This window comes from Homo sapiens, chromosome 2 (assembly GCF_000001405.40).
Source record: "Homo sapiens chromosome 2, GRCh38.p14 Primary Assembly".
Lineage (NCBI taxonomy): Eukaryota > Metazoa > Chordata > Mammalia > Primates > Hominidae > Homo > Homo sapiens.
The window spans coordinates 36914630-36942232 of record NC_000002.12 but is presented as its reverse complement, the minus strand read 5'-3'; the positions used below and the strand labels follow the sequence as shown (position 1 = coordinate 36942232).

The following is a 27603-nucleotide window of genomic DNA, read 5'->3' as shown; positions in this document are numbered from 1 at the left end:
TGATTATAAGATTGCTATAGCTACAGACATTAAGACCACAGGGAAAAGCAACAAAAAGGTCTGTTTGGGTTATTTTTGGAGTAAGTCTCCTTTATCAGTGAGTGATAAGCTTTCCCAGAAGTGTCTTTTCCCCATTCCCAGCAGACATACATGTATCACTCATTGGTCACATAGCCGTGTTTGGCCACAGTAGAATCTAAGAAAGCAGGCCCTTGGCGTTCCAGATTCTATAGTGGGAAGCTACAAGTTAGAAGGGGCTTGGGAATATGTATTTCGAATAGCCGGCCCACAACATCTACCACAATGGTTAAGTAAGTTGTGGTAAACCAACTTGAAGACTTGTAATACAACCAATAAAAATGATAGTATAAAAATAATAGGGCTGGGTGCGGTGGCTCACGCCTGTAATCCCAGCACTTTGGGAGGCCGAGGTTGGGGGATCACCCAAGGTCAGGAGTTCGAGACCAGCCTGGCTGACATGGTGAAACCCGTCTCCACTAAAAAAAAAAAAAAAAATTAGCTGGGTGGGGTGGCAGGCGCCTGTAATCCCAACTACTTAGGAGGCTGAGGCAGGAGAATTGCTTGAACCCGGGAGGCAGAAGTTGCAGTGAGCCGAGATCATGCCATTGCACTCCAGCCTGAGTGACAAGAATTAGACTCCATCTCAAAAAAAAAAAAAGTTTACATAAGAAAATAAGTTATAAAATTTTGCACCATGATTCTGTTCATCTTGAGAAATGCATTGAAAGGCAAATTCAAAGGAAATAATTCAGATGATAAAAATAGAAGCTAAAATAGAGCATGTCATTTAACAGCTTTGAACATTACTTTTTTATGGGGTGGAGAGCGATGTGAAGAAAGGGGCTGCTGGTGTTCTTGGGTTGTATTTTCCAAGGCGCAATGACCAGATCATAGAGTCTGCACATAGCTTTATAGTCCCCTTTTGCAGAAGAGATTGAACTAATTTGCATTGCCACCAACAATATATAAATCTTTATATGTAATTCATTTAATATCTGTAATTCATCTGCCTGTGAACATTGGGTTTTATCATTTTAATTTACTTCCTTTGTTTTGAGACAGGGTCTCACCTCTGTTGCTCAGGCTGGAGAGCAGTGGCAGGATCAACTGGTTACTGCAGCCTCAGGCTCCCTGGGTTCAGGTCATCCTCCCACCTCAGCCTCCCTAAGTAGCTGGGCCTACAGGCATGTGCCACCATGTTCAGCTAATTTTTGTATTTTTTGTAGATAGGAGGTTTTGCCATGTTGTCCAGGCAGATCTCAAACTCTTGATCTTCAGTAATCCACCTGCCTTGGCCTCCCAAAGTGCTGGGATTACAGGCATGGGCCATTGTGCCCAGCCTAATTTACTTTTTTTTTTTTTTTTTTTTTTTTTTGAGACAGAGTCTTGCCCAGTCGCCCAGGCTGCTGTGCAGTGGTGCAGTCTTGGCCCACTGCAAGCTCTGCTTCGCGGGTTCACACCATTCTCCTGCCTCAGCCTCCCGAATAGCTGGGACTACAGGCGCCCCGCCACCATGCCTGGCTAATTTTTATTTTTATTTTTATTTTTAGTAGAGATGGGGTTTCACCATGTTAGCCAGGATGGTCTTGATCTCCTGACCTCGTGATGCATCCGCTTCGGCTTCCCAAAGTGCTGGGATTACAGGTGTGAGCCACTGCACCCAGCCCCTAATTTACTTTTTTTAAGACAAAAATGTTTTCAGATTTACAGAAAAGTTTCAAGAGGAATACAGGAAACTTTTACTCAGCTTCACCAACTATTAATATTTTCAACTGTGATAATTTGTATTTTTTATTACTAATTAGACTCTGCAGTTTTCCGTGTGATGATTCAGCTCTATATATTCTCATGGTTCTTTATCAACCTCCTGCCATTTGTTTCTGAGTAGAATCTGGCTATTTTGTTTATTAATATTGACTAATATTCACCTTTTAAGAAGGTAACCTTTTTAAAATTATTTCTCTTATATTTCTTCTATTACTTTTCCTTCGAAGTACATCTTATATAAAATGCCTCATTTGAATATGTTTACTACATATATCTTAACTCCGATTATAATGTTCATTTCTTCAGTAATCAGAAAGGGTTATACTATTTCTACAAGAATGTAAAAAGTACTTTAAAAAATTAAACTATCAGTATTTTATGTAGATTATAAGTTCAATGAAAAATTGAACTATGTCTATGGTGGGAATATGACCCAAATGCTTAAACAAAGTTTTGGTACGTGGTAGGTACTCAGTAAATGAATGAATAGATTTTACTACAGTATATTGGTTAGAATGTGAATGGATTCAGGTTCTTTTCAGGATTATTCCTTTTTGTCCTAAATACTGTATCGTGGTCTTTCCCTAGTATATGACTTTTGATTTAATATACTTTTAGTTGTTACACTATTTTGAATCACTTTTTGAAACCTGTTTTATTTACTTTTATTCTGTTCAGCAAATGCTTACAGAATAGTGATTTTGTGTCAGAAACTATTTCCACTATTAAGTGGCAAAATGAACTTTAAAAAGACTAGATGCTGGCTGGGTATGGTGGCTCATGCCTGTAATCCTAGCACTTTGGGAGGCTGAGGTGGGAGGATTGCTTGAGCTCAGGAGTTTGGGACCAGTCTGGGTAGCATACTGAGACCCTGTCACTGCAAAAAATAATAATAATAATAATAAGGAAAGAATAGATGTTGAATTTTGTTGAATGCCTTTTTTGAATCTATTTTTGATTCCTACCTCATGTTACTGCTGTGAAGAATTAAGATATATAATGCGAATAAGATAGGTATATGAAAGTGCTTTGTAAGCCACAGTGGGAAAGCTAGATATTATCATCACGTCTAATTAATGTATCTGAGATAAGGTATGGTGTATGATGTATCAGGTAATTGGTCTGTAAAAGCAACGGGAGATCCCTGAGTGGCTTCGGAAAAAGAATGTCAGTACAGTGTATCCCACGCAATAGCTTGATTAAAACAAAAAACAGGCTGGGCGCGGCGGCTCACACCTGTAATCCTAGCACTTTGGGAGGCCGAGGCGGGCGGATCACGAGGTCAGGAGATCGACCTGACCTGTAATTCCACGTGCCTGTAATTCCAGCTACTCGGGAGGCTGAGGCAGGAGAATCACTTGAACCAGCAAGTTGGAGGTTGCAGTGAGCCGAGCTCGCACCACTGCACTCCAGCCTGGCGACAGAGCAAGACTCAGTCTCAAAAAACAAACAAACAAACAAATAAAAAAAAAAAACTTGACACACTTAGAAAATGAAGGTTTGTGCTATTGGTTTTCTTTTAGTTTAGAAAAACAAAGCATTGTTTAAATATTTCTTACAAGTACAAATATAATTTTAATAAATGTTCAAAGATATCTGTAATTAAAGTTTCATTCAGCAGACATATATTATGTCTAATAGAGAACTTGCTAAGTAAGATATAAAGGATGATTACATGAAAAATCACAAAATTGTCATTAAGAGTCTTAAAAGTCAGTGATAGGACAATAGTTAAAAGATATCAAATAGTTATTTATTCTTAAACATTAAACAGGATATTAATAGTTTTAATAACCTTGAAGTTTGACAACACTGTAAAAACGCTGCAGACCACTTTTATTTATGAAAATACATGCAAATAGCAAACACCAGTTGGGCTTAAGGCTGCTACTTACTTACCCAGTAAGTGACAAAGCTGGAATTCAAACCAGGTTTGAGCTATACTAGTACTACCCTTGAAAAGGTTTCCTTACGCTCAGCTTTCCTTAATTTCTTAAACTCTTTTTTTTTTTTTTAATTGAGACAGAATCTTGCTCTATTGCCCATGCTGGAGTACAGTGACATGATCTTGGCTCCCTGCAACCTCTGCCTCCCAGATTCAAGCAATTCTTGTGCCTCAGCCTCCCAAGTAGCTGTGATTACAGGTGTACATCACCACACCTGGCTAATTTTTGTGCTTTTAGTAGAGGCGGTGTTTTGCCATGTCAGCCAGGCTGATCTTGAACTCCTGACCTCAGGTGATCCACCCGCCTCGGCCTCCCAAAATGCTGATATTACTAGTGTGAGCCACCACGCCTGGCCAATTTCTTAAACTTTTGATTATACTAAGTATGTTCCTTCTGCATGATAACACTTTTTCCTTTTATAAAATTAATCTCTCAAAATACTTTAAAATTCAAAGTACACTTTTTAGATTCTTTAAAATACTCATTGCCATGTTCATGGCCTTTAGATATGTGATCATAGCCTATTTGCTTTTCATTGACTTAGTTTCATGTTTCTTTGCCTTTTTTCCCCTACTTTTCTTTATAGAACTATTTACTAGTAATGAAGTCCTTTTAAAGAATACACTTTTTCTTCCTCCTGCTAACTGTTAAGAGAGTGTTTTATAATCACTCTGGTCATAGCCTGTAAGTTTCTTTTCTAAACTATCTTTTCAAGATACATATTTATTAAGTTGCTCTCAAATGAATATGGTCATGTCTATGCAGCAAATTTCTTTTCTTTCTTATTTCCTTCTTCTCTTTTTTTTTTTCTTTTCTTTCTTTTTTAAGGCAAGATTTCACTCTGTAGCCCAGGTTGAAGTGCAGTTGTACAAACATGACTCACTGTAGCCTCAACCTCACTGGCTCAAGTGATCCTCCCACTTGAGCCTCCCAACCAGGTAGCTGAGACTACAGGTGTGCACCACCATGCTCCGCTAAGTTATTTAGTTTTTTGTAGACATGGATTCTCAGTGCGTTGCCCAGGCTAGTCTTGAACTCCTGGTCTCAAGCCATCTTCCTGCCTTGACCTCCCAAAGTGATAAGATTACAGGCTTGAGCCATTATGCCCGACCTCTTTTTCTTTTTCTTTCTTTTCTTTTCTTTTTTTTTTTTTTTTGAGACAGTCTCACTCTTGTTGCCTAGGCTGGAGTGCAGTGGCATGATCTTGGCTCACCGCAACCTCCACCTCCCCGGTTCATGCGATTCTCCTGCCTCAGCTTCCCAAGTAGCTGGGATTATAGGCATGCACCACCACGCCCAGCTAATTTTGTATTTTTTAGTAGAGACAGGGTTTCTCCATGTTGGTCAGGCTTATCTCGAACTCCCGACCTCAGGTGATCTGCCCGCCTTGGCCTCCCAAAGTGCTGGGATTACAAGCATGAGCCACCGTTTCCGGCCCTCTTTTTCTTTTTAACTGAGCTTATTTATCTCTTCCGCAGCTTGAGTCTGGGTCCTACTGTCTTTGTCAGAGTATTTTACTATATTGACCTGGACAATTCTGCCATCATGAACCATATTCCAAACCTAAATATGTAAGAACATAGAAAGATTATTTCAGAAGGAGAATTTTAACACACATGCTTTATTCTGAAAATTCAGCAACAAAATGAAAGGTGAGTTGTGATAGTTGATGTAACAACAAATAGAAAGAAGAAAGCCTGTAATCTGTTTCAGAATGCTATTTCTGGGGCTGGTAACATCAAAAATAATCAAATTAAATGTTAACTTGCTGACTCATAAGATTTTCTCTAATTTAGAAGTTGGAGAACATGCATACTCCTATTACCACTTTCCATCTTTCTCAAATATAGTTTTTATAGTTTTCTGTTGGCTTCATCATTGTATTGAAAGATTATTAGTCACTTACATACATGTAGTTTTCTGTTAAGTCCTGTTCAATATATTACAAAATTTTGATCTATATATGTAATATCAATTAATAAGATGGTGTTAGTTAAATCAGATTACGTGTTCATTCACTTAGTCATTGTTAATACTTCACAGAATATAAATCGTGTTCCATAAGCATGAATTTCTCTCTTAATTCCACATAGTTGTATTAAAATTATGCACCATTTATCATTAGAGTAAAAGATGATGTGTCATTTATTGTAGTGGTAGAAGAAAATAAAACCAAAACAGAATCCAATCTGAAAGCTTAGGTTTTTATTGTTACTACAGTAATTACATCTTCATATACTAAGGACAGCACACTATTACTGTCCAGGAATGGTGTCTCAGACAACTGATTGCTTACAGTCTTTTCAGAGATGAAATAGGAACATAAGCAAGCAGGAAGATTTTTGTCTAAATATGAAGCAAGAAAGGCTTAAATGTCTTTATTCAGGGGATTAGGCATCATAAGTTTTTTTTTAGAGAAATTGTTTTCATGATATTTCCTATCTGCTTTTGTTACTTTGCTTTTGTCTAAGTACGTAATATTTAAAATATTTATAAATTTATTATTTACATGTTAATACCAACGTTTTTTATTTATTTTGTTTTATTAATAGGAGCTCTAATTCACATTTCATAGCCACCTTTGTATAGGCAAAAAAACTGAGAATTAAAAAAATGTTCAAAGGTTAAGGAAAAACAGACTTTCTAGTTTATGGTAATTATTGTTTATACTTCTACTTCGTATGTTCTTGCCTGTTTTTTTCCATTTACTGTGATTGAACTTTTATCTTTTAAATCAAATAACATTGAATAACCGCAGTATTGCAAGGCACTTTGGGATGGAACAGTTGAGTCTATTTTTATTTAGCTGTTGTCCTCAGCAGATTTATAATCTAGTAGAATGCAAAAATCCGCTTTTTGTTGTGTCCTCAATACAAGTGGGAAGCACTTAGTAGGCACTTAATTATTTTATGTTGAGTGCATGAATGAAGGCTTCTGCCTTTAGAGGGCTTATCTGGTTTGGGATGAGATAAATTGTGAACATTCTGAAAATTAAAAGAGAACAAGACAATAATTATGTCATAGTCCTAATTAAATGAGATTAATTATAGAAGGTGTTTGGTAGAGTACGTGATACATATTAAGTATGCCAAAGTCCTTATTTTCTTGCCTTTTTGCTGAACATTAATATAAGTCTCATAAAGTGTTAAAATAATATGTACATACAGAGGTTTTTTTGTTTTGTTTTTAAATAGAAAATAAGAAATGCTCTTGGAATTCAGAGAAGGGATTACTGTGGTGTGTGTAGGCTCAGACTAGGACATTGGTAGAATCCGAAAATGAAAGGGCATTTGGAGAGGTAGGAGAGAGAAGGGCATAAGCCAAGGCATGGAGCTGGGAATGTTCAGGTGTAGTATCTGAAGACTAACTGTCTACTTATTTTTTTAAAAATATAAAATTATGAGTTTCGTTCCTTCCTTTGCCCACCATCCTCCCCTCTGTTGCCCAGGCTAGAGCACAGTGGTGTAGTCTCAGTTCACTGCAACCTCTGCCTCCCAAATTCAAGCGATTCTTGTGCCTCAGCCTCCCGAGTAGCTGGGGCTGCAGTTTTGAGCCACCACACCGGGCTAATTTTTGTATTTTCAGTAGAGACGGGGTTTCACCATCTTGCCCATGGCTGGACTCAAACTCCTGAGTTCAAGTGATCCATCCATCTAGGCTTCTCAAAGTGCTGGGATTACAGGCATGAGCCACCGTGCCCAGCCTAATTGACTACTTTGATTGGAACATAGGATGTGTGAGTAGGAATGTGGAAGACAAAACTAGATAGAGGGGATGGGAACAGATTGTCGATAGCCTTCTTCCGTTGGGAAGAGTTTGGGCTTTATGTAGTTCCTTAAGATTTATGGATTCATAATTTATACATAAAGACTGAATGTTTTAAATATGAGAAGTGTTGCCTATTGAAGAATACTTCTTTAGAGATTATATACCTATCAACAGATAATCATGTTGGTTTAAAACATGTTAACTCTTTTGGAGCTAACCATAAACAAAATCATACGTTATAGAAGACTTATCATTTGCAAGTAATGCTTTCTGAGAGCTCTGTAAATCCTCAGATTTTAAGATTAAGACATCTTTTTGTGGAATTCCTTATCTGAATTATATTTCCATTGAGAGTAATGTTATGTTTCTTACATGTACGCATATTCTACAAGTTAATATCCTTTTCAACTTTAATGAAGGTTTTATTTCACTTGAATCCTTTTTGCTCAGGTTGGAGCATTTGCTGAATTAGTTCACTGATTTTTGATGGGGGAGATATAGAACATTTCTGTTCTTTTTCTGGTTAAGAGCTGCCATTTTCTTAGTCCTTACATTTTTCTTTCTTTGTGGGGGCAGAGAGCATTTTACATCAATAGATTTAGTTTTTTTTCTTTTTTCTTTCGAGACGGAGTCTCCCTCTGTCACCCAGGCTGGAGTGCAGTGGCGTGATCTCTGCTCACTGCAAGCTCTGCCTCCTAGGTTCACGCCATTCTTCCTCAGCCTCCAGAGTAGCTGGGACTACAGGCGCCCGCCACCACACCCGGGTAATTTTTTTGTATTTTTAGTAGAGACAGGGTTTCGCCGTGTTGGCCAGGCTGGTATCAAACTCCTGACCTCGGGTGATCCACCTGCCTCGGCCTCCCAAAGTGCAGGGGTTACAAGGTTAAGCCACCGTGCCCAGCCTAGTTTTTTTTCTTAAACTGTTTAGAGTCATCGCCTTTTAACTTTAATACAAATGCTTGGCTGGGCATGGCAGCACACACCTGTGGGCCCAGCTCCTCGAGAGGCTGAAGCAGGAGAATCGCCTGAGCCCAGGAGGTCAAGACTACAGTGAGCTGTGATCGTGCCATTGCACTCCAACCCTGTCTCAAAAAAACTTCCAAAAACAAATGCTTGGTGTTAGGCTAGACTCATGCATTTAGCCCCTACATTGGGCCTCTAGCTTCTCCATTGCCTTAACAAAGTATCTTCTGGGTAGCTCTCAAAACAGTGGTAACCATGAATGTTAAATCTATGAATATCATACTGTCTCATACCGTAAATCTGCAGAATTCCTCCCTTGATTGATATCTTATTCTCTCTTTTCTTCTACATATGTGTATATGTACATATACAGTTATCCTTTGATGTCTGTAGGGTATTGGTTCCGGGAACTCCCCCATCCAATACAAAAAACTGTGGATGCTCAAGTTCCAATTTTCTTATATAAGGTGGTGTAGTATTTGCATATAAACTATGCACACCCTCCCATATACTTTAAATCATCTCTAGATTATTTATAATACTTAATGTAAATGCTGTGAAAAGTTGTTATACTGTATTTTTAAAATTTTGTATTTATTGTTTATTGAATGTTTTTGATAGATGGTTGACTGAATCTGCAGGTGTAGAACTCATGGATATGAAGGGCTAACTGCATATATATGTGTGTGTGTGTGTGTGTGTGTGTGTAAATTAAAAAAAAATGGAATTTCTAGCCCTTTGAGCAAACATAAGGAACATTTATAAAGAGGTGAAAGATAGGAAGATGTGCTGAGGGAATTTAACTGACTGATTCGAGTTCTGAGGGAGCCTTTGGGATCTCAAGAAACCTACTGATGTACATTTATTTATAAGCTGCCATAAGGTGATAATGTGGGTGTAATTAATTTAGTGCTTTAAGTGAGAATTTGGGCAGTTGAGGGTTTTCTGTATACGAAAATCTATGTTTGTAATCTTACATTTAGGGATGGAGAGATTGCTTTTGAAAGAATATACCAGTATCTCCTATAGCATTTCAGAGGTAAAATGTTATCTAGAAGGATCACTTGAGCCCGGGAGTTCAAGGCTGTAGTGAACTATGATCATGCCACTGTACTCCTAACCTGGCAGCAAAGAGAGACCCTCATCTCTAAAAAACATAAAATGAAATTTATCTTTATTTTCAATATAATCCATAAGTTCACATCTTATCTTTTTTTGAAATGTGACAATAGGTAAATAAATAAAATGGTACAGTAATTTTATTTATTAGGAAAATTTCAGGAGACTGACTAGTTTGTTAAAATGTGAAACTAGGCCGGGTGCGGTGGCTCACGCGTGTAATCCCAGCATTTTGGGAGGCCGAGGCAGGCAGATCACCCGAGGTCAGGAGTTTGATACCAGCCTGGCCAACACGGTGAAACCCTGTCTCTACTAAAAATACAAAAATTAGCCAGACGCAGTGGCGGGTGCCTGTAATCCCAGCTACTCTGGAGGCTGACATAGGAGAATTGCTTGAACCCGGGAGGTGGAGGTTGCAGTGAGCCGAGATCACGCCACTGTACTCCAGCCTGGGCAACAGAGTGAGACTGTCTCAAAAAAAAAGTAAAACTAGCTGTAGAATAAATACCAGATTAGAATACAGTTTTTAGGCTTGGTGCAGTGGCTTATGCATGTATTTCCAGCACTTTGGGAGGCCAAGGTGAGAGGATTGCTTGAGGCTAGGAGTTCGAGACCAGCCTGGCAACATAGCAAGACCCTGTCTCTACCAAAAAGATTAAAATCAGCTGCATGTGGTCGTATGCGCCTATAGTCCCAGCAACTTGGGAGGCTGAGGCGGGAGAATTGATTGAGTTCAGGATTTCGAGGCTGCTGTGAGCTATGACTGCACTCCAGCCTGGGCAACAGAGCGAGACCCTGTCTCAAATAAATAAACAAATAAATGAATAAGCAAGCAAGCAAGCAGTTTTAAAGTTGAACATCAGTTCTCTACTTGACTCCAGAGTTAAATAGGCATCCAGTTGCTTTTTGTGTTTATTTTTATATTCACTGCTTTTGCCTGCAACTGTGTTTCTGGTTCTAAGTAAATATAACATATGCTACTGGTACACATATGTCTTAGGCAACATATGTTTCATTCACTGGATTGTTAGCTCTGTTTTGTTTTGTCACTACTTTAGTCCCAGTACCAATAACTGCCAGGCACAAAGTAGGTGTTTAGTTAATATTGTTAAATGAACAAATACAAATATTTGATTTTATCACTTGAATCCTCGTTTATTAGTACTGCACTATCTTTTCTTAGCTGTTTTTGTGAACATAACACAGCTTGTGTACAAGCTGGTCTTGTACCCTAACGAGATTGGAAGTACATTGTGGGTAGAAACTTGGTTTTATTTGTTTTTCCTATATTCTCCTTTACAGCAGTTTAGACTTGATGGGAAGTAGGTATTTCCCAAACATGTGATTGAACTGAAATATATTGGTAGATTTTATTTTATCAGGAGACTGCCAAAAGTATAGTCATAACTAAGGAATTTGGAAGAGAATCAAAAAGCTAGTATGTACTCGTCTGTCAGCTTGAAGGCCTGTATAAGACTCCAAACTTCTGTGGAGTAAAAAGGGTAGGGTTCTGGGGCTGGACGCGATAGCTCACACCTGTAATCTCAACACTTTGGGGAAAAAAAAGAGGTAGGGTTCTGGGACTATTCTTTGCTTCTTTCTTTTTCTTTTTTTTTTTGAGGCAATTTTGCTCTGTCATTCAGGCTGGAGTGCAGTGGCATGATCTCGACTCACCACAACCTCTACCTCTCAGGTTCAAGCAGTTCTCCTGCCTGAGCCAGAGTAGCTGGGATTACAGGCGCTTGCCACCACACCTGGCTAATTTTTTTATATTTTTAGTAGAGATGGGGGTTTTACCATGTTGGCCAGGCTGGTTAAGAACTCCTGACCTCAAGTGATCCACCCGTCTCGGCCTCCCAAAGTGCTAGGATTACAGGCCTGAGCCACTGCGCCCGGCCTCTGGGACTGTTCTTTTCCTTGCTCCTTAACAGACTGTTTCCTGCTTTTTGTTTTGTTTTGCTTTGTTTTTTGTTTTTGGCCTCCTAACTGTGTTACAAACGGTTTAAGTCAGTGGTTCTCCAAGGTTGGTCCCAGATCAGCAGCATTATCACCTGGGTACTTACTAGAAATGCAAATTCTTGGGCCCCACTCCAGACCTACTGAATGAGCAACTCTGAGGGTAGAACCTAAAAAATTGTGTTTTAACAAGTCATCTGGGTGATTCTGATGGTAAAGTTTGATGTCACCAAATGATAATGACACTTTTTTTTTTTTTTTGAGATGGAGTCTCGCTCTGTTGCCCATTCTGGAGTGCAGTGGCATGATCTTGGCTCACTGCAACTTCCACCTCCCAGGTTCAAGCAATTTTCCTGTCTCAGCCTCCTGAGTAGCTGGGACTACAGGCACACGCCACCATGCCTGGCTAATTTTTGTATTTTTAGTAGAGATGGGGTTTCATCATACTGGTCAGGCTGGTCTCGAACTCCTGACCTCAGGTGATCCACCTGCCTCGGTCTCCCAAAGTGCTGGGATTACAGGCATGAACCACCGCGCCTAGCCTGATAATGACACTGTCTTTAAGAGAGAGGGCTACAGGCAGTGATTATGTGCCAGAGAAAACTAGCAGCCTAGATTTAAGAGGATAATATAATCCAAAGCTTTTCAGAGGGAATAGATATAGTTTATAGAAGGCATTAAGACATAAAGCGATTATTGAAACTTCATTGTACACTGTAACCATATAATTGACTTTTACTTATATATTTCCTCTTTTACTTTGAAGTTTGTGTTCAAATCAAAAGATGAGAACCTTAAATTAATCAAGCTTTATAATATTTTATTTTAGATTTTTGTAAAAGTGAATGCTCTTTATATTCCATAGCAAGTAACTGAAAAGCTACTGAAAAGTGTCCAACCCAAGAATTTTGTGTATTTTTCATTTTGAATTTACTTCTCAGTGATTTCAATTTTGAATCCTAGCCCTTTTAAATTTTAGAATACAAGGTAGTTTAAAATGGCTTCAATAAGGCTGGGCGTGGTGGCTCACACCTGTAATCCCAGCGCTTAGGGAGGCTGAGGTGGGTGGATCACGAGGTCAGGAGTTTGAGAACAGCCTGACCAACATGGTAAAACCCTGTCTCTACTAAAAATACAAAAATTAGCTTGGCGTGGTGGTGTGCACCTGTAATCCCAGCTACTCAGGAGGGTGAGGTAGGAGAATTACTTCGACCCTGGGAGGCTGAAGTTGCAGTGAGCCGAAATCGCACCACTGCACTCCAGCCTGGGCGACAGAGCGAGACTCCGTCTCAAAAGAAAAAAAAAGGGGTGGGGGGGCTTTAATAAATTAAATGGTGCATTTTAAATATTTTAATTGTTTATTAGATATTATGTATGCAGATAAACCTGTTTATAGAAGATCTATATTCCTATTTACATATATCCTTTTGACAAATTAGAATTGAAAATAATACAAAAATAAATTTTCTTTTTGTCATGCAGACTTAAATAGTAAAATGTCTTCCTTCTATTATTTTTATCTTTTTTGTTTATAATGGTTAGGAAGTGAATAATTTTCTATACTGTGAAAAATACGTATAAAGTATCATGGAAGTTCAACATTCATTTTCCTTGAAGATAATTCCAAAGTTTTCTTCTCCAGAAGTATATGCTGTTATTAGGTTTAGTTGTACTGATAAATGGCAGTATGATGATTTGTAATTTTTTAAACATTTTATTCATGTCACTTTTTTTTTTTTTTTTTTGAGACGGAGTCTCACTCTGTTGCCCAGGCTGGAGTGCAGTGGCGTGGTCTCGGCTCACTGCAGCCTCTGCCTCCTGGGTTCAAGCAATTCTGTGCCTCAGCCTCCCAAGTAGCTGGGATTACAGGCACCTGCCACCACGCCCGGCTAATTTTTTTTTTTGTATTTTTAGTAGAGATGGGGTTTCACCATCTTGGTCAGGCTGGTCTTGAACTCCTGACCTCGTGATCCACCCGCCTCGGCCTCCCAAAGTGCTGGGATTACAGGAGTGAGCCACTGCGCCCTGCCTTTTTTTTTTTAAGATGGAGTCTCACTGTGTCGCCCAGGCTGGAGTGCAGTGGTGTGATCTCTGCACACTGCAACCTCCGCCTCCTGGGTTTGAGTGATTCTTCTGTCTCAGTCTTCCAAGTAGCTGGGAATACAGGTGCCTGCCACCATGCCTGGCTAATTTTTGTATGTTTAGTGGAGACAGGGTTTCACCATGTTGGCCAGGCTGGTCTCGAACTCTTGACCTCAAGTGATCCCCCCGCCTCGGCCTCCCAAAGTTCTGGGATTACAGGTGTGAGCCACTGTGTCCGACCTATTTTCCTCTTTTTCTTTTTACCTTTTTTCCTTCCCTTTTTTTCTTCCTTTTGCTGTTTTCGTCTTTTATGTCTCTCACCCTCGCCCTTCCTCAATTCAATTCAAAGAGCAATATACTGCCATATCTGGAGAATTTTTAGCTGGAATTTAATCTTTATTTTAAAAGAGTAAGAATTTATACCAATTATTATGCTTTCGACTGAGGTCGTTTTACAGAAGGAATTCGTTTTTTTTTATGTAGGAATGTGTTTTAAGACTGTTTCTAATATCTAAGTTTCCTAGAGAAAAAAAAGGTAAAAGATTGACATTATTCTCATAGTCTTTTACTCTTTTCTCAAAGGTCTTAGTTCAGGTCCTAATTTTCTTTCAATTATATTCATTTATTTAACCAGTCTCCTTTAGGTGGTCATTTGGGTTGTATACATATTCTTGTCTGTGTTTTATCAGTCATGTATTACATAATTTCACATATGTGCAAATATATATTTGAAGGATACCATTCTAAAATTGCTGAGTTAAAGGGTATATGCATTTACAAACTTGACAGATATTACCAGTTGTCCTCTATAAAGTGAAACTGGTTTATATCACCACAGCTAACATTTAAATGTCTGTTTTTTACCATATTATTAAATTACTGAACTTTATCCATCTGATGGAAAAGAAGAAATCTGATTGTACTTTATTTTTTATATTTTTAATTTTTTTATGAGATGTCTTGGTATGTTGGCCAGGATGGTCTCAAACTCCAGCCTCAAGCTATCCTCTCACCTCAGTCTCCCAAAGTTCTGGGATTACAGGTATTAGCTACCATGCCTGGCCCTGATTACCACCCCCCCCCCCCTTTTTTTTGTTTTTTTGATATAGGGTCTCACTCTGTCACCCATGTTAGAGTGTGGTGGTGTGATCACTGCTCACTGCAGCCTTGGCCTCCTGGGCTGAGGTGATTCTCCTGCCTCAGCCTCCCAAGTAGCTGGGACCACAGACACATGCCACCATGCCTGGCTGATTTTTTAAATTTTTTGTGGGGACGTGGTCTCGCTATGTTGCACAGGCTAGGCTCAAACTCCTGAGCTCAAGTTATCCACCCGCCTCGGCCTCCCAAAGTGCTGTTAATTACAGGGCTGAGCCACTGTGCCCAGCCTCTGATTATACTTTTAATTGTAATTTCTCTTATGCTTGAAGTTGAACATATACAGTAAAGACTTTATGGTATTGTAGGCTGAAGTTTCAGAATCATCCAGGACCAATGATGTTAGCAGAAATGCAAAACTAGCCAAGGAGTATCGAGGGGACAAAATAGATAATTGATATTGTTATTACCTTCAAAGTTTGATTGCATTGATTAGCTTATTATTTTTATTAAAGTCATTTTAAAGAGCATATAAAGTTCTATGCCAAAGCACGTTTGGCATAGACAAACATTTGGAAATGACAAGTTGGGCTGTCATTTCCTTTTGACACGACTTTCATTTTTATCAGCTTTAAATGCATGTGTCATTACTATTCTGGTTAGGTAACATAATTATCCCACTGCAGAATATATAATTTCAAAAGAGTCTTGTGGTTATTTGATGCCTTTTCCTCTGAAAACAATTGAATTGTTTTCAGACCACTTTTATTTCAGTAAGGTAAATGTAATCCTTCCTTTAATTGTAATGTAAAATTTAAGAGCACATTGAAATGAAAACAAAAGCCTAACAAACTACCTACATTTTGAAAGTTATAAGAGACTAGATAAGTTGGATTTTATGTTTCTTGTGGTACTGAATAGGAACAAAGCTCATTCAAACTAAGCTTGAATGAGAATTAAGTTTAATGGCTCACTTGCTAAACCTTAGTTGCACAATCCTCACAATTCCTTAGGGATGTGGCAAGGTCATCCTTAAATGTAAAGTTCTTGCTCACTTAATGGAAAGCACTGTAGATACATAAATAACATTGTTACCTGTCTTAGTGGGTCAGTATAATAGACGGACGTGGTGGTACATGTGAGAATAGTGAAATTTATAGCTAGTTTTGAGGCCCTTATGACTTTTAAGAGGTATTATGAGTCACTTTAACAAGTTAGTGTTTGTGACATAGTTTCAATTTCTTATGTGAAAGATAGTATTTCAATTGTCAATGTTCTTTTAATATTCTGGAGAGCTACTCTTTCCTACCCCTCTGTTTTACTGACTTTAAAAGTTGTTTACAGTTCGTTTCATGTTCAAATGTAGGGTTTTAGTAATTCCTTGGGGTGGGGGGCAGGAATGGGCAGAAGGCCATTGTCTCTAATTTTCCTTTTCCCAACTTTCACTTTCTTTTTTCTATGGATTACATGTCAAGGTGGGTGAGAAAAATGGTGGGGATTGAGAAAAGGGAGCAATTTATTGTTTGTAGGGGAGGTCCAAAATAAAGTCACTTAAGGAATCTGTCATAAAATTTAAATATATGATGAAGCTTGTGCAAGGGGATTATAAGAACTGATTTTACTTTAACCCTTCCTGCTTTATAAAAAGATCCTGTTGATGGCAAAAAGACAAACACTTTAGCAAACTGTACTGTACACCTTGCATTTGTTTGCATTAATATTAGTTGTTTTATTTTATTTTTTGATATGGAGTCTCACTCTGTTACCCAGGATGGAGTGCAGAGGCGTGATCTCGGCTTACTGCAACCCCTGCCTCCTGGGTTCAAGCAATTCTCCTGCCTAAGCCTCCCGAGTAGCTGGGATTACAGGTGCCACCAGGCCCAGCTAATTTTTGTATTTTTAGTAGAGACAGGGTTTCACCATGTTGGCCAGGCTGGTCTTGAACTCTTCACCTCAAGTGATCCACCCGCCTCAGCCTCCCAAAGTGCTGGGATTACAGGTGTGAGCCACCGCATCCGGCAATATTAGTTGTTTTATATTGTAGACTCTTAAATGATGTGGACTATGTGTTGTAAAATCCCTACCCTGAAGTAAAATGCATTTAGATGTCCCCCCAGCCCTTTTTAACTTAAATCCTTTTTCCCCCTTGCAGTCAGTGCATTTTTATATTTGTACATACTTTGTGAGAAATGTGTAAAGGAAATATTTTTGCATCTAATTGTTCAAACTTCCAATGGTTCTTTACTGAGTTAAAAAAACTTTTTTTTTTGGTCTAAACTGAATTTTTTCTGTCTTTCCCCTACTCAGGCCCAGATTGCCTTCCTGCAGGGAGAAAGGAAGGGCCAAGAAAATTTGAAGAAGGATCTTGTGAGGAGGATCAAAATGTTGGAGTATGCTCTTAAACAGGAAAGGTAATTCAGTAAAATGAAAAGTGGTGTTCTTTTTTGTTTATTTGTTTTGAGACGGAGTTTCGTTCTTGTTGCCCAGGCTGGGGTGCAATGGTACGATCTTGGCTCACCGCGACCTCCGCCTCCCGGTTTCAAGCAATTCTCCTGCCTCAGCCTCCCCAGTAGCTGGGATTATAGGCATGTGCCACCACACCCAGCTAATTTTGTATTTTTAGTAGAGTCATGGTTTCCCCATGTTGGTCAGGCTGGTCTCGAATTCCTGACCTCAGGTGATCTGCCCACCTCGGCCTCCTAAAGTGCTGGGATTACAGGTGTGAGCCACTGGGCCTGGCCAAAATGGTGGTCTCTTAAATGTTGGAATAATTTTTTTCATCATTCCTAAAATAAATTTAAATGTTCATACTCCTTGAGTTCAGGTGTATCTGTAGTAAACATTTGTATGAATGGTTGTAATATGTTAATTTTATTATGAATAGTTTAATAATGATCAAAAAACTGATTTATGTGATTTCTTAAAAATTAGCAACATTTTTTTCCTACTCTGCCTGTTTTGAAGAAGCAAATATGCTCCCCGAACTGTTAATACCCATTCATTTTAAAGTTGAAATAGTTTTTAATTTTTAAAGGAAATTTCTATAGTGTTTCCTTTTCCTGTCATTTAATATTATTCAATTTGATGTATTTTCTTTAGAAAAAAATTGTTCCAGCAGACTATGTTAAGATTCTATATAGACTTTTTTTTTTTTTTTTTTGAAACGGAGTCTCACTCTGTCGCCCATGCTGGAGTGCAGTGGTGCAATCTCAGCTCACTGCAAGCTCCACCTCCCGGGTTCACACCATTCTCCTGCCTCAGCCTCCCAAGTAGCTGGGACTACAGGTGCCCGCCACCACGCCTGGCTAATTTTTTGTATTTTTGGTAGAGATGGGGTTTCACCATGTGAGCCAGGATGGTCTTGATCTCCTGACCTCGTGATCCCCCCGTCTCGGCCTCCCAAAGTGCTGGGATTACAGGCGTGAGCCACCATGCCCAGCCTATAGACTTTTTTTTGTGTATTTTGTTCCTCTGCTGTCTGCCGTTACAATCTCTCCAGAAGCTTATCTTACCTTTCTATTTTGCTAGTGTCTAAGATACTCCAGTAACTAAATTTGGGTCACAAGTAAAGGAAAATAGGTCATGAGTGAGATTTTTGGAAGTTATATGAGTTATTTATTTGCTTTAATGAATGGGCCTTGGATTTTTTTGTCGACAATCTGAGTTCATTTTTTTTTAGATAACTGAGTACTTATAGGTGATATTGGAATTATCTATTTTGCTACTTTTTTGCTTTGTTTTTAATGATGCTTGTTTTGTTTTTCTCTTTTTGAAGTTGGTGAATGGGATATTTGCAATAAAATAGCATTTAGATGCAATTAGATAAATAGATGATATTTATGAATAATGAGAAATAGATAAAATTTTATTAGAACTTGTGTTCATCATCATGTAGAATCTTTAAATGGTGTAAGAGATTGAAAATAGGTTGACCTCTTAGTGAAAAATACGTGTTTCTTTTCATACTTTGGGAAAGTTGATGAAAAGCTGTATTAGGGACATGGAAAGAAAAAACACTTTTAAAAGTACATAATTTGGGAGTAGTGAGTTGTTTTTTTTTTTTTTTTTTTGGAGTCCTGCTTTGTTGCCTAGGCTGGAGTGCAGTGGTGTGATCTCGGCTTACTGCAACCTCCGCCTTCTGGGCTCAAGCAATTCTCCTGTCTCAGCCTCCCGAGTTGCTGGGACTACAGGCGCATGCCACCATGCCTGGCTAATTTTTTTGCATTTTTAGTAGAGACAGGGTTTCACCATATTGGTCAGACTGGTCTCGAACTACTGACCTCAGGTAATCCACCATCTCAGCCTCCCAAAGTGCTGGGATTACAGGCGTGAGCGAATGTACCTGGCCGAGTATTTGAGATTTTTTTTTTTTTTTCAGACGGAGTTTTGCTCTGTTGCCAGGCTGGAGTGCAGTGGTACGATCTTGGCTCACTGCAACCTCCACCTCCTGGGTTCAAGCAATTCTCCTGCCTCAGCCTCCCAAGTAGCTGGGATTACAGGAGCTTGCCACCATGCCCAGCTAATTTTTGTATTTTCAGTAGAAACGGGGTTTCACCATGTTGACTGGGATGGTCTCGATCTCTTGACTTCGTGATCCGCCTGCCTCAGCCTCCCAAAGTGCTGGGTGGCGTGAGCCACCGCGTGCGGCCCGGAGTGGTTATTTTCATCTGGAAGATGAAAGTAGAAAGGAGTGCAGAGTAAGAGGAGGTGAGGCTTGAATAGCATCAAATAAGAAGGTGTTTGTCAGACAGACAAGGTGCAGGAAGTAGAGAGAACATGTTTGACATGGAACAAAGCAGTTTGGTGTGTTCAGAAATTTGTAATCTTTGTGTGTGGAGAGTAGGATGTTGGTTGTGGTCCTCCTCTCAGTTGATGACGGATAATGGTAGAGGGGGCAAGAGTCAGATCATAGAGAGCCTAACCAAGGAGTTCAAACTTTTATCTTACATGTAACAGGGAATGTGGGAGGTTTAATTTTTTTTTTTTTTTTTTTTTTTGAGACAGGGTCTTGCTCTGTTGCCTAGGCTGTAGTGCAGTGGCACAGTCATGATTCACTGCGGTGTCAGCCTTCTGGGCACAAGTGATCCTCCCACTTCAGCCTCCCAAGTGGCTGGGAATACAGATATACTCCAGTCCACACAGATAAATTTTTAATTTTTTAGAGAGACAGGGTCTCGCCCTGTTCCCAGGGCTGGTCTGGACCTCCTGGGCTCAAGCAGTCCTCCTGCTGTAGCCTCTTAAAGTGCCGTGATTATAGGCGTGAGTCACCATGCCCAGCCAAAAAAATTTTATCTAAAATGACCTCTAATAGAGGAGTTGCAAGAATCTTGTATACCCTTTACCCAGATTCACCAATTGAAAATGATTTGCTATATTTGCTTTATTGTGTTTGCTCTCTCTATAGGTACCATTTTTTTCCCCTAAATCATTTGCTAGTTTGTCCCTAACTACCTCTGTGTATATTTCCTAAGAGCAAGGACATTTCCTTATATGATTATAGTATATTACCAAATTAAAGAAATGTAACATTGATATTCTATTATCTGATATAGTCTATATTCAGATGTTCTAAAAGTGATCTTTATAGCATTTTTTTTTCCTGGTCCAGGATCCAATCTGGAAATATATACTGCATTTAGTTGTTAAGCACTTGAAAGTTTTAAGCAAGATAGAGTATGAAATACATTTTAGAAAGATCTCCTGACCTCAGTGTGGGGGTGGACTGGAAAGATCTCTAAACACAGGCAGAAAGATTGTAATAGTCTAAGATGAGAAATGATAACACAGTAGCTGCTGAAATAGACACATCAACAAAAAAAAAATTTTAAGTAGAGTCCATGAAATCTGAAGCTTATATAAAAATTTGGAGATGGGACAGTGGGTGAATGAGAAAGATAATTTGAGAATGACTCCCAGGTTCCTGGCTTGAAGGACTATCTGAATTATGAGAGACTTTTAGAAGGTATCAAATGAATTAAAAAGAAGAATTAAAGAGCAGATATGTGAAGGGGACGCATGATGAGAAATATATGCTTGGGAATCATCAGTATTATTGTGAGTGAAGTGAAAGGAGTAGTTGATAGAACAAGTATTGGGGAAACAAGAGAGAACTAGAAGGAGTGACAGGAAGTAGAAATATTTGAAGAGAAGGCAGAGGAAGAAGAGCCAACAAAGAAATAGAGAAGGAAGGAGGAGAGAGTAGTATTTTGGAAGTGAGTTAAAGGAGGGAGTTCAATAACTGAAGATGCTAAGTAGACTCCAAGTAAGTTGTATACTGAAAATAGTCATTTGGAGTGGCCAGTTGGAAGCTTATTGGTACCCTTACTAAAGCAGCCTCAGTAAGGCAGCAGGAACATGAGCCAGATCACAGAGGATCGAGGGCTGAGAAGGATGAAGTGGGGAGAGATGGAGTTGCTTATATTATTATTATTTTTTTTTCTTTGAGACAGAGCCTTGCTCTGTCACCAGGCTGGAGTGCAGTGGTGTGATATCGGCTCACTGCAGCCTCTGCCTCCTGGGTTCAAGCCATTCTCTTGCCTCAGTCTCCTGAGTAGCTGGGACTACAGGCGTTTACCACCACACTGGGCTAATTTTTGTATTTTTAGTAGAGATGGGGTGTCACCATCTTGGCCAGGATGGTCTCGATCCCTTGACCTTGTGATCCGCCCGCCTTGGCCTCCGAAAGTGTTGGGATCACAGACGTGAGCCACCGCGCCTGGCAGAGTTGCTTATTTTTTTTAGGAAATTTGACTCTGAAGGACAGTAGAGATAAGGAACTGGCTGAATCTAGGGAAGATTTTTTTCTTCTCTTTCTTAACTAAATGGGATTGCTCCTGGAAAAGAGTTCCTGCTTTTGTGTCTTTTTTTTTTTTTTTTTGAGACGGAGTTTTGCTCTTGTTGCCCAGGCTGGAGTGCCATGGCACGATCTCAGCTCACTGCAACCTGCACCTCCCGAGTTCAAGAGATTATCCTGCCTCAGCCTCCCCAGTAGCTGGGATTACAGGCATACACCACCACACCTGGCTAATTTTGTATTTTTGTTAGAGACGGGGTTTCTCCATGTTGGTTAGACTGGTTTCGAACTCCCAACCTCAGGTGATCTGCCCACCTCGGCCTCCCAAAGTGTTGGGATTACAGGTGTGAGCCACCGCGCCCAGCCTGGTTTTGTTTCTTTTGAAGTATATGGAATGATTTGGGATTATTCTTGATGTTATGGCACTATTTGTATAATCTAAGACATTTTTAAAAAGCATTTATTTGTGGCTTGAATTTTAAATTGAATTTTAAAAAAAATTATTGAGGAAAATTTGAAATATACTCATAGAGAAACTAATGTCTTTTATATACAGCCCCAAGTTTTAACAGTTAATGTTTTTGTCAGTCTTTTTCACCTTGATCTATTTTAATGCAATTCCAGATACCTTGTAATTCATTTCAGCTGTAAATGCCTAAGTAAAGATCATGATTTTACATGATTTTCTTTGCATGATTTTTGCAGATTTTCTAAGTAGTCCCACTTTAGGATCCAAAAGTAAAACCGAATTATTAATATTACAGAAGAATTACTTACCTAGCAGTGGATTTATCAAAGCATTCCTTAATGTGTGATAAAATTTAATATAAATTTTCAAGATTACATAGTGTATAATCTGAGGTTGACTTAGGAACATCTATGTTGAGGAACCTCAAATACTATATAAATACAATTCTGAAAAATTTCTGCCATTTTTAAAATTTCTCTCTATTCACTGCTACTTTTATCTACCCTACTGTAGTAACTTAACTGTCCTCCTTGCTTCTAGTATTTCCATATTTTAATTCGTCTTCCATATCCGTAGAATTCATTTTCTAAAACACAAATATGATAATTCTGTTATATCCGTGTTTAAAAATATCTAGCTAATTTCACGTTCTTAGTAAAGTTCTTCACAGCCAGGCCCTTTCTGTCCCTTCTCTGTCTCCATTCCTTCCATACCTTTTGGGTGTAATTATTCTGTCTGCTGTTTTTTGACCCACTGTGTGTGTTTTTTTTTTCTTCCACTTAAGATGTCCCTTCTGACAGAAATGCCCTCTCCATCAATCCATTTTGATTGGAAAACTCCCACTGGTATTTTGAGATTTAGCTAAAATCTCACGTGTTACCTTCTTTTTGGTAGCTTTCTTTGACACCAGTTTTGACCGAATTAGATTAGATAATCCCTTATCTGCATTCTTGTAATACTTGCTAGTAGCCCTTATAGCTCTTACACAGTATGCTGTAGTTATTTACATTCCTGTCTCTTACGCATACCCTCACCTTCCACCCTTACCTAACTACAAGCTGTAGGTTGTCCCAGCAGCCAGCACAGTGCCTGTAAATCATAGGAATTCAGTAATAGTTCATTGAAATTAATCAAATTATTTTTAGCATCCACATTTAAGATATAATTGAGATGCTGTTATACTCCTAGCATAATATGTATAATAATAGGCTTTGAAACAAAGCTAAAATTACTCTTCTTTAGTGTATTATAGTTATTAAGCAATTTTTATGCTACTTTTATCCAATAAAGGTCATTTATGGAGGGCCTACCTGTGTATCAAACATGGAGTTGCTAGATATAAGATCTGCTTTTTTATCTTATAGGCAGAATTAGACAGAAAAAGAATAGCAAACAAGAAAGATTGGTTAACACAGTGAGCTGAGTGTTAAAACAGTGGAAAACGGTATGAATGAGAAGGTATTTTCACATATTGACTTAAAAAGGAATGCTATTAAGCATAAGGAGGGTTCTGTGAGAAAAATATATTTTAGTGAATGTAACAATTCAGTAGGGAGACCTTGATTTAAGGGACCATAGCTTGTGATAAAAACAACAGTTCTTTACATATTTTTGCCTTTGTCTGTTTTTTAAAATAAAATGTTCATAATGTGTCACAGTTTTTGTTATATTTATTTTTGTAAAATATTTTCTGTTCCCTTTTTGTAGGTTCTGTTGTAGTTTTTCCTGAGACCACTAGAATGCACTATAATGCAGTATTTTGTGTTTGAAAATGTTTTTCTTTTATATATATATAAAAAATATAAACTCCATAACATTTTATTGCTACTATTATTTTAAAAGCTTTAATATAATCTGTCTTCAGACTAGTTACATTCAGTTGCTATTTTGACTTCTAGCAGGTATTACTACTTTGTCTTATGGTAAATGAAGTGTGTTTCTGGAAAAATAAGAGATTGACAGTTACATTTAGAACTTTGTTTACTTTCTAGTAACTGCAAGTCAGATGAATGTCTGTAAATCTTACCTTCTGATGATCAATAGTATTACAAATACATTGAACTAGATGGGCAAACATTTCGTCCAGTGATAAAATCTTTGTGGTTAAGAGACACATTGAAAATAGATGTTCTAAATAATTTGGACTAAACATATTTACTAAAAATTAAGTATCTATATAGTTAATTAATCAAATAACAGCAAAAATAGTCTCCCTTCTGCCTCAGTTCATTGATTTCCTTTCCCAAGGAAATCTTATCAACTGATATCTTACGTATTATGTATCCTTCCAGAAAGATTCATATGCATAGGCTAATGAAATAGATATGTATCTTTTAAAAAATGTATGGAGACATACATAGTATTTTGTACCTTTTACTTTTTGCTTAAGAGATCAGTTCATTGGCATATGAATATATTTTTTTCCTTCTTAATGTGTAAATGTTACTATAAAATATTTCATACATACGTGTAAGATATAAAGACTGTTATAAAAAATACTCATGTACCCATCACCTACCTTAAGAAATAGGACATCAACTGCCTATAATTTTCATAGGTTTTCTTAGAATTCCTCTCTGTCTAAAACTTTTTTTTCTGTTGTGACTGCAAAATGATTATTATTGCAAAATAAGAAAGATTTCAGTATTTTACACATTTGAGCAAATAATTTTTCATTTCCTTTCTACTTTTCTTTTTTTCTTTTTTTTTTTTTTTCTTTTTTTTGTTTTTGAGACAGGGTCTCACTGTGTCACTCAGGCTGGAGTGCAGTGGCATGATCTTGGCTCACTCACTGCAACCTCTGCAGCCGGGTTTAAGTGATTCTCCCACCTTAGCCTCCCGAGTAACTGGGATTACAGGTACACCACCATGCCTAGCTAATTTTTGTATTTTTTGATAGAGACAGGGTTTCACCATGTTAGCCAGGCTGATCTCAAACTCCTGACCTCTGGTGATCCATCTACCTTGGCCTCCCAAAGTGTTAGGATTACAGGCATGAGCCCCCGTGCCCAGCCACTACTTTTCTTAAATTATGAAAAAACCTAACGGTAAGTGCTCTATTAGGTTTTTATAAAGAAAAAAAAAACTTTCAAATTTGGCTGTGTTACACTTTGCTTCCTTTATTACTTTATTATTTTGGTTTTTCAAATTGTTGTTTATATTAATGTCCCAGTCTTTTTTTTTTATTTATTTTTATTTTTTATTTTTTTATTGATCATTCTTGGGTGTTTCTCACAGAGTCCCAGTCTTAACACATTGAATATTTATTATAAATGGCCTCAATATTTTAGGGAGCCAACAAGTGAAAATATGCAAATAGATTAAGCAGATATGGCTATTTTTAGTCACCCTTTTAAAAATTTCTACATTATCTGGGTTATTTTTCTAGTCTCATGGTTAAATCCGAGATAGTTAAATCAGATGGTTAAATCCTATTAACCAGAATGATAACATTCTGTCAACTTTGAAAAGAAGATAAAACAGTATTCCCATTCACAGTTCTTTTTGAGCAAAAGACAAGGGATATCTTGACTAGTATAAAAAAATTCCTTTCTACTGGAATATCTTATTCAACATTGATGATTTGGGCTGGGGTTTTCCCCCTTGGATTGTGCAGTATAATGCATATTTGGCAAATCATGATTATCTGACAAGTCATATAATATTGTAGATGACTTTTCTTTTTTTAAGAAGCTCAATTTTTTGAGAAAAGTCTTCTACAAATTTATTTCACAATCCAAACCTTTTTTTTTTTTTTAACTGTTTTTGATAGTAAAATTTAGCTTTGGCAATCATCAGGAAAATTTGAATACTACAGAAACCAGGATGTTATATCGTTCATTTTGTTATTACAGAAAGAAGAGTTAATGATTCCCAGAGTTATTCCTTTATTTTGTTATAAGGATACTTGATGGTATAACAACAGCAACAACGAAAAGGCAAGCACTTTTGTATTATAACTTTGACACCATGGAAAGCTATGAGCCTTTGAAAGTTCTAGGAGTGTTCAGCCAGGACTACTGAATTCTTGTGACTACTACTATTGTGTATGTTAATTTAAACATATTTTAAGATGGTCTGTATTTTCTCATTTCTTTGTTAGAGCCAAATACCACAAGTTGAAATACGGGACAGAATTGAATCAGGGAGATATGAAGCCTCCAAGCTATGATTCTGGTAAGCTAATTTTAATGGAAGTTTAAGTGTTAAAAAGAAGTTAATGTCTAGTATTTTCTAGCAGCATTTACAACTGTAAGTTACTTTCTAATTATTTGTGTATTAGTTATTTTTTCTGACCTGCTTGTCTTTTGGCACCATTTAGTGTCATTTAGATCATTTTCCACCACCTTCCTTCCTTTTCCCTCTTCCCCTTTCTTTTAGTTCCCCATTTTCTGCTTATGTTCTACACTTACTGGAAGGATCAGAGTTCATGGGGTAACATGCACCAGCATAACCTTGTCTTGCTGGGTCTGCCCAGAGTTAATGGGAACTTTCAGATGTGCAGTACAAAGTACATCATGCTCTTGAAATCCTGAGAAAGATTAGGAAATATGGAGGTAAGAGATTTCTTCTTAAAGCATGGAGGAATTCCTCATCCCAAAAACATAATTCTTCGGTTTCAGGTGGAAAACTGTTTTGGTCTTTCTTGTCCACAGGAGTTTCTGTAACTAGAACATGTTTTAACAGCTGAACCATTTATTATATTTTTGAATTATTTCTTCTTTTTCTTTTTCCTACTTCTTCATACCATCAAACAATATAAAATATTACTTGTAAATCAGATATTAAGAAATATAGATATAATTCACTTATTAGTAGGTATTAGGGAAGAATGACAAAAATTAATCAAAAGTTATCAACCATGTTTCAGATAGGTACGTTTCTGGCGTAATTTCAGGTTAAATTTCCCAATCAGATATCTGAAGACATTAATGTTCATTTATATCATTTACTGAAATACGTACCTTGTGCTAGAGGCTTTATATATATATATATATATATATATATATATATATATATATTTATGTATTCAGTTTAAATTTCCTTTTTTTTTTTTTGAGACGGAGTCTTGCTCTGTCACCCAGCCTGGAGTGCAGCGGCATGATCTCGGCTCACTGCAAGCTCCACCTCCCGGGTTCACGCCATTCTCCTGCCTCAGCCTCCCGAGTAGCTGGGATTACTGGCGCCCACCACCAGGCCTGGCTAATTTTTTGTATTTTTAATAGAGACGGGGTTTCACCGTGTTAGCCAGGATGGTCTCGATCTCCTGACCTCGGGATCCGCCCCCCCTCGGCCTCCCAAAGTGCTGGGATTACAGGCGTGAGCCACCACGCCCGGCCGCATATTCACTTTAAATTTTAAAGTGGTTATTCGGTAAAGTATCTTTGGTAAAGATAATATTTATTTGGATTTTACATATGTGAAATTTAAACTCAGAGAAGTGGAAAAACTTGCCCAACGTCACACAGATATTAAGTAATGATAGAATATGGAGCTGAACCCAGGTCTTTCTGACTCCAAAATTCATATTCTTTCCATTTTACCATGTTGCTTCTGTATTTGACAGTGTATGAAAGAACTTTCCAAAATGACTTCTAAATGTACTGCCAATTTTATAGTTAATT

The 27603-nt window shown here is 37.9% G+C and overlaps 1 protein-coding gene across 3 annotated transcripts in view, besides 1 other annotated feature; it reads left to right on the top strand.

The window, feature by feature from the left end:
* Positions 1-27603, top strand: part of STRN (striatin) — a 128839-nt gene that overhangs the window by 24304 nt on the left and 76932 nt on the right. For all 3 annotated transcript variants that reach the window (XM_005264519.6, NM_003162.4, XM_011533073.3), the window contains exons 2-3: positions 17025-17128; positions 26082-26155. In XM_005264519.6, the coding sequence (XP_005264576.1) occupies positions 17025-17128; positions 26082-26155 (178 nt within the window). The remainder of the gene's footprint in view (positions 1-17024; positions 17129-26081; positions 26156-27603) is intronic.
* Positions 5110-5310: a silencer, noted in NCBI's record as "peak3656 fragment used in MPRA reporter construct". NCBI's record gives its function as "represses an SCP1 promoter by STARR-seq MPRAs in K562 erythroleukemia cells {active_cell/tissue: K562}" and the evidence as "EXISTENCE:reporter gene assay evidence [ECO:0000049][PMID:32103011]".